Source organism: Homo sapiens, chromosome 22, assembly GCF_000001405.40.
Source record: "Homo sapiens chromosome 22, GRCh38.p14 Primary Assembly".
Taxonomy (NCBI): domain Eukaryota; kingdom Metazoa; phylum Chordata; class Mammalia; order Primates; family Hominidae; genus Homo; species Homo sapiens.
In genome coordinates, this window is record NC_000022.11 from 38,938,702 (window position 1) to 38,947,055 (window position 8,354).

Here is an 8,354-nt window from a genome sequence, read left to right on the forward strand (position 1 = left end):
TGGTGTGGCCAAGAGCAGTTTTCTTGGAGCGTTGGGGAGGGGACAGGAGCCAGATTGCAGGGGGATGAAAGTGAACAGGAGGCAGGAAACTGGGACAGAACATGTAGAAAGATTTTATATCTATAAATCATATATAATTTTTTTCTATGAAGGGATGCCAAGAATGGAGGAAAATGTGGCTCCACAGGGTGGAGATAGCAGTCCACGTGGCTTGCTGATGGGAAGGAGCCTCCAGTAGGGGCGATGGTGTGGAAAGCTACAGAGGGAAACCCACTGAAGGAGAGGCCGAGCCCTGAGCAGGAACAGAAGGCTGGGCTTTGACAGGGCACAGACTATGGCAGGCCGCGGAGTCAGGAATTGTGTCTGTTTTTGTTTGAGTCTGTATCCAGCTCCTAGAATAGCACCTGTCACATAGTAGCTGCTCAGTAAAAACAATGTTGCATGAATGAATATAGACACCAAAGGAGGCAGGGTTTTAGAGGTGGAGTGAAGGTGAGTGTGATCTTTTCTGCTTTTTGGTGCTCAGTGACGGCTGAGGTAGGGTCATGGGCTGAGGACTGGGAGGGGATTGGCTGGGAACGGGTGACTGCGGGAGCAGCTGTGCAGGAGAGGAGCTGTGCTCACTGTGCCACGGGAATGCCAGGAGGATTCATTTCTCATCCACTGGACAACACCAGCTGAATCGAGGCCCATCTTTCCACCCCTGAATTGCAGCTCCACCTTGGTCATATACCAGCTTCCCAAATATCCTTGATTCTGTTTGTGTGTGGCATTTTCCTCATCTCTATTTCTGCTCCTGGTGCATATACTACTCTTTTGATTACGGTAGCTTTATAGCATTCCTAGTTTCTTTTTTTTTTAGACGGAGTCTCACTCTGTTGCCCAGGCTGGAGTGCAGTAGCGCAATCTCGGCTCACTGAAACCTCCGCCTCCCAGGGTCAAGCAATTCTCTCGCCTTAGCCTCCCTAGTAGCTGGGATTACAGGTGCACACCAGCATGCCCGGCTAATTTTTGTATTTTTAGTAGAGACAGGGTTTCACCATGTTGGCCAGGCTGGTCTCAAACTCCTGACCTCAGGTGATTCCCCCGCCTCGGCCTCTCAAAGTGCTGAGATTACAAGCGTGAACCACCATGCCAAGTCAGCTTCCCTAGTTTCTGATATATTGTAAGTACCCCCTCATTTCCTTCAATCACAATTATTCTGTCACTTGGACTTAAATAACCCGTTTACTATTTTAAAAAAAGAAAGAAAGCTAAGAGCAGTCATGGTGATTCTATTTGCATTTGTGTTGTATTTCTGTCTATCAGTGTATTTGGGATATTTTATGTCCGTTAGTAAAACTGTTCCCTTCTTTCAAAATACAGGCTTTGAAACTTTGTTTTCTTTCAAAAATGTTTGTATTGGAGTATAACTTAGAGTTAATTGCAAAAGCTTAGGTTTGCAGTTGATGTAACCACCGGCCAGATGGGGTGGAGGCTTTCTCCAGAATCTCAGGTGGCTCATGCATGTCATTCGATTTGTTCCCCCTCCACTGGAAACTGGTGTTCTGACTTCTATTATCATAGATTAATTTTGCCTGTTTTTGAACTTCATAGAAATTACACAGTATGAATTCTTTTATGTGTGACTTCTTTTGTTCAATATTACTTTTGTGGGGTTCACTGATGCTTTATATGCCAGGAGTTCATTCATTTTTATTGCTGTGTAGTATTCCATTGATGGAGAGAGTACAATATATTTACCATGTATAACATATTCACAATATATTTTAATATATATTTTAAATTATAATATATTAAAATTACATTGTATATAATTTATATATTAAAATAATTTTATATATTATAATATATTTTAATATATGCCATTGTTGCTGGACAGACCGAGTTATTTCGAGTTTTTGGCTGTCATGAATAAAGCGAAATGAACGTTCTTTTTTTTTTTTTTTTTGAGAGTCTCGTTCTGTTGCCCAGGCTGGAGTGCAGTGGCACCATCTCTGCTCATTGCAACCTCCACCTCCTGGGTTCAAGGGATTCTCCTGACTCAGCCTCCCGAGTAGCTGGAATTACAGGTGCATGCCAACACGCCTGGCTAATTTTTGTACTTCTTTTTAGCAGAGATGGAGTTTTGCCATGTTGGCCAGGCTGGTCTCAAACTCCTGACCTCTGGTGATCTGCCTCCCTCAGCATTCCAAAGCGCTGGGATTACAGGCGTGAGCCACCGCGCCCAGACTGTGAACGTTCTTATGCAGCCTTTTGGTGGACATAGCATCTATTTCAGTTGGATATTATAATACCTAGGAGTGGCATTGCTAAGTCATGGAGTAGATGCTTGTTTCGCTTTAGTAGCTGCAACTAAACATTCTATGCTGCCCCTTTTATGCTACCATCAGCAATGTAAAAGAGTTCCATCCTTGACAATATTTGATGTTGTCAGTCTTTTGGATTTTAGCCATCCTGGTGGGGAGGGGCTAGTGGTATCTCACTGTGGTTTTACTTTACATTTCTCTGATGATTAATGAGGTTGACCACATTTTCATGGGTTCACAGGCCATTTTGATATCCACTTTTGTAAGCTGCTCCTTCAAGATTTTGGCCCATTTTATAATGGGCTCTTTTTCTTACTGATTTTCTGGAGCTCCTTATATATTTGGGAGATAAACTCTTTGTTAGGTAGATATAGTGCAGACATCTTTTCCGAGTCTATGATAGGCCTTTTCACTCCCTTACTCCCTTAATGGTGCTTTCTGATGAAAGTCTGTGCTTTTCTTACTAATTCCTGGTTATAGTATCGTTTTATTTCACATTGTGGATGAGGTTAAAAGTTGTTGATATAACACACACTAGTTAAGACAACATCCTGGAGAAGGGAACACGGCGCAGAGGATTTTCTCCTCTAGGCTGCTTCCGGTTTTCGGAGTCAGTCATACTGACCCTCTGGTTTTAGTTCCTTGGGTGGTTTCCTCGGGGAACCACTATTTCTTGATTTACTAGCTCTTGATGGTATCTACTGCCTTCCCTCCGCGAATATGAGAGTTTCGCTCTTATAATTCTCCAGAACTTCCCCTCCCCTCCTCTCCCCTCCTCATGTAGTTGCATCAGTGCCCTCAGGTCCCCCGTGGGCAAACGCCCACAGCTTCAAGTGCTTGCTGAAACTCAACAAGAAGCAGAATCACTTGACTCAACCTTGTGAATCAGCCGCTGACACTTCCCTCACTCCTCTTCCAGCCTCCCTCCTCATTCCATCTTGACCTCTTTCACTTTCGCCTTCACATTATTAAGGTTGAGAATGTTTATATTAATTTTGTGAACATATCTCAGCCTCCCATGTCCTGTCTATAGATTGAATCTAAATGTTGAAAACCCAGTCTTTGGGGTTTACATCACCGTACTTATAGGAACGTGCATCTCACCAACCTCGGTCATGATGACTTACCTCTCCCGAATCTTCCTGTCTTAATGCCGTTCCAAAAAACATCTTCTTCATGTGGCAGCCAAATGGTTCCACCTTTTTGATTTTCCACCGATGATGCTTACAATCGTGCCATGATCTTGTTGGCCTCCTCCTTGGACCATGGCTGTAGAGTGTGGAAAGGTGTTAACTCTTCAACCTTTTCTGTCTGTCCAGTGTAGAAAAGGGTTAACCTTTCCACTCTGTGAGCCGCCCCCCATGTTTCCTTTTTTTTGAGATGGAGTCTCACTTTTGTCACCCAGGCTGGAGTGCAGTGCCACGATCTCAGCTCACTACAACCTTCGCCTCCTGGGTTCAAGTGATTCTCCTGCCTCAGCCTCCCAAGTAGCTGGGATTACAGGTGCCTGCCACCACACCTGGCTAATTTTTGTATTTTTAGTAGAGACGGGCTTTTGCCATGTTGGCCAGGCTGGTCTTGAACTCTTGACCTCAGGTGATCCACCTGCCTTGGCCTCCCAAAGTGCTGGGATTACAGGTGTGAGCCAGCGCACCCAGCTTCCCCCACGTTTCTAGGTAGCCATGGTTAGTTTCTTTTGCTTGCAACCAAAGATCTCTAATAGGTAAAGAAGGTGATCCAAGATTCCAGGAAACAGGAAACAGAAGGAACGTGCTGTGGGGAGATGAAACAGAAGCTCCGGGTGAGACCAGGGCAGCACTGACCACTCCACAGCACCTGGCTGTGTAGCTGCTCTGGGTTGGACTCGCCTGCCCAGCATCCCTTCCTCTGCTGCCTTTGGGGAACCGCCTCTCCTTTGATTGTCATCTTGATTGATTTGTGGACAAGACAACCCAGGCCCCTGCCCTCTCCAGGACTAGGGCCAGTTCAGAACCCAAACCCAATCTGACTCCCCTGGAGCTCTGACTCTGAACAAAATAAGACAAAACCAGAAAACACGGTCAGAGCAATGTGGATCCCAGTGGTTGAGACCTCCAGGGCTGTGCATGGGTTCCTGCTCCTGGACCCTGCACTGTCACTCGTTCTTGTGCTTCCTGAGCCCAGATTCTGTAATTTACCCTTCAACCCCGTGAGCTCTGTTACGTTTCTCGTTAGCTATGGTCCACTTCTTTTGCTTGAAACCGAAGATCCCTAATGGATAGAGAAGGTGATACAAGATTCCAGGAAACAGGAAGCAGAGGGAATGTGCTGTGGGGAGACAGAGGCGCCACAGCCCCCTATCGGCGACACCTGGCTCCAAGCAGTTTTTTTCTCTGGTTCTTAAGCCTCTCTCCTCCCCGACTCACCCTCCCTCCCTGAAGGTGTCTTCTCTGCTTTTGCCTTTGAGATGGCCTCTTCCTTCCCCTTTTCTGGTCTCCTTCCCTCTGGGTCCCTGCCCTGTCCGAGGCCTCAGTGCTCCCTTCTCTGATGATGCCTCCCAACGTTGACTCCAGCTGAGCTTCTCAAAGCTCCTTCTCCTGGCCAAGAACATTTGGTGTCACCTTCTACCCTGTGCTGACTCCTTCCTGCTTGGTCCTGTCGCCTTCCTGTTTGGCCTTTTGGTCACACTTGTCTTTCCTCAGTAGGGGCTTTGGAGCCCAGCAGACCTAACCTCAAGTCGAGTTTCTGCCTTTTCTGGGCTGTGTCTTTGCACAGTGGCTTCACCCGTAAAACGAGGGTCATGACGCTTGCCTTCACTGCAAGGAGATTGTAAAAGTTAAATAGGAGCCTGTGTGTGGAGTGCAGATACAAAAAGTGATCAATGTTCCTCTGTAAACAAAAACAGAGAAAAAAATCCTCCCACGACCCTTTACCACCACCTCTTGTGAATCTAAAGGTCTCTTGCTGCTGTGTTTTTGAGCATAAATCTGTTTATTAATTTATCTCTAGGTCATTTCTCTCATTTCCTTCCTTCCTTCCTTCCTCCCTCCCTCCCATCCTTCCTTCCTTCCTTTCTTCCTCCCTCCCTTCCTCCCTCTCCTTCTCCTCGCTCCCTCCCTCCCTCCTTCCCTTCCTTCCTTCCTTCCTTTCTTCCTTCCTTCCTTTCCTTCTTTTTCTTTCATCTCACTCTGTCATCCAGGCTGGAGTGCAGTGGCGTGATCATGGTTCATTGCAGCATTGACCTCCTGGGCTCAAGTGATCCTCCCACCTTTCAGCCTCCTGAGTAGCTGGGACAAGAGGCACGCACCATCCCGCCTGGCTAATTTTTGTATTTTTTGTAGAGATGGGATTTCACCATGTTGCCGAGGCTGGTCTCGAACTCCTGTGCTCAAGCGATCAGCCCTCCTTGACCTCCCAAAGGACTGGGATTACAGGCGTGAACCACCATGCTCAGCCCTTTCTCTAGGAATTGTGTGTAAGCTGACGAGATTTCAGTGTGTGCCTAGCCCATCCTTTTGAAGGCTAGGGTTGTCGGTGGTTCTCAAAGAGAGTCCAGCCTCTTGATACCTTGGTCTTAAAGCTCAGGAATCTCGAAGAATTAAGCTCCGTTTAGGCCAGTCCTCTGTGTTCACTCCATGTTCCGCTCACAGGGGCTGCTTACCACCCATGCTTCCCTTTTGCCCTCCTTCCCCTCTCCTGGGATTGGAGAGCTCATGGAAGCACCGATTCTGCATCTCATCAGGGCACCTGCTGGGGACCACTCAGGAAGGGTGTGGGAAGGTGGCCTTCGGCCGCTGGTTCAGATTTGATTCTGAGAGCAAGGGGGTGGGAAGATCTGGGCTCTCTAGAACACTGCTGTGCCATTAGTCTCCTGAAAGTCACACAGGTGGCAAATACACGCCCCAGGTTGGGCTGTCTCTCGGCTCACCTATGGGGCCCTCGCTGAACAGAATTGACTATGACAAGTTCAATATCATGCACTCAGATACCTCTGCATGCGAGACCCCTTGTGTCATGATTGTCTCTGCCATTCACAGCCCTCCAGCCTGGCTGACTCCTATCTGCCTTTAGGATTCATTTCAGGGACCACCTCCTCAGGGAAGCCTTCTCAGATAGCCCTGTCCCCTCTGGGTTGTGTGAAATGCCCCAGCTCTAAGCACCCCCACCTCCCCAGCACATTCCCCTCATCGTGTGGTGGCCACCCATTTTACCCAGGGATGAAACTAGACTCTCAGTGTCTTGAGGACAGAGTTGGTGGCTATTGATCTGTAGGGAGCGAAGAAAAAACTTCCCCTTCGCCCTCTGAAGTTTTGCTGAAAGAGGAACTCACAAAAGGCAGACAACTTGGCCAGGCGTGGTGGCTCACCCCTGCAATCCCAGCACTTTGGGAGGCCAAGGCGGGCGGATCACCTGAGGTTAGGAGTTCGAGACCAGCCTGGCCAACATGGTGAAACCCCTTCTCTACTAAAAATACAAAAAAATTAGCCAGGTCTAGTGACAGGCTCCTATAATCTCAGTTACTCAGGAGGTCGAGGCAGGAGAATTGCTTGAACGAGGGAGGCGGAGGTTGCAGTGAGCTGAGACTGTGCCACAGCACTCCAGCCTGGGCAACAGAGCGAGACTCCATCAAAAACAAAAACAAAAAAAAACAAACAACAACAACAACAACAAAAAACAGACAAATCGGAGAAAAGGCATGCATGTTTTATTTAACGTCTATGATGGAGCCTTCAGAATGAATACCAAAAGATACAGGGGAAGTCATCCATTTTTATGCTTAATTTCAACCAGGTATGGGCAGCCATGTAGAAATATAATTGGACAAAAAGGGTTTGATCTAATGCTAATAGACTGAGGGGGAAATCCAGCAGGGCTTGTCTCTCTAGATTCTTCTTGGCCTCTTTGAGCAACATTCCTTCCTTCTGGGTGTGGGGCAAGGCCCTCTCTGGACTGGGAGTCTTATGACCTACAGTCAAAATAGGTCAGAGAATTTCTTCTTTCTTTCCTGCTTGCTTGCTTGCTTGCTTTCTCTTTCTTTTCTTTTCTTTCTTTCTTTCTCTCTCTTTCTTTCTTTCCTTCCTTCCTTCCTTCTTTCCTTCTTTCCTTCCTTCCTTCCTTCCTTTCTTCCTTTCTTCCTTTCTTCCTTTCTTTCTTTCTTTCTTTTCTTTCTGACAGGGTCTCACTATGTTGCCCAGGCTGGAGTGCAGTGGCACAATCTTGGCTCACTGCAACATCCACCTCCCAGGTTCAAGCAATTCTCCTGCTTCAGCCTTCTGAGTTGCTGGGATGACAGGCACCCACCATCATACCTGGCTAATTTAGATATTTTTAATAGAGACAGAGTTTTGCCATGTTGGCCAGGCTGGTCTCGAACTCCTGACCTCAGATGATCCACCCACCTCGGCCTCCCAAAGCGCTGGGATTACAGGCATGAGCCACTGCACCCAGCCCAGAGAATTTCTTTATGAACAGTTTTTATATAGAAAGGCAGAGAGAAAGTTAGAATAATATTTTCGGGTTTTATGGCTGGTTTGGGGGGAAAAGTAATATTTTTAGGTTTTATGGCTGTTTGCAGGGTGGGGGTGGAAAGGGGATTCGACTTCCTATGGCCAGCTTAGCAAGAGAATGAGACTGAGGACAAAAGGGCATGCAAAGTTCAGAGAAAAGCTATTGCTTCTGAGGCTGCTTCTCAGGCCTTCATTTTGAGATATTGTTTTCTGCGTCCCAACACGTTCTTTCACTGAGTTTTCCCCCAAACATTGAAAAAGCACTGACCATGTGCTAGGAGTTCAAAACCAAAAAGGAGGGTTGGTTTTCGTCAAATGGGAGATACTTTCAAAATGTGTGGCTCATGGCAGGGAAATGAGAGCACTGGGGACTACTGGAACAGAACCGCCTGGCCCGGGAGAATCCAAGGAAGGCTTCCTGGAGGAGGAATGGCAGAGCGGACCTCTGCTACTGCAGCAGGAATGCCCCCAGCTGCTGCTGGGGAAGGGCTTATGTTGGCTGGGTTTGCCTTTGGGGCAGAGTGGCTGGCTGCTCCCCCTGCCCAGCGAGGGTAGTTCT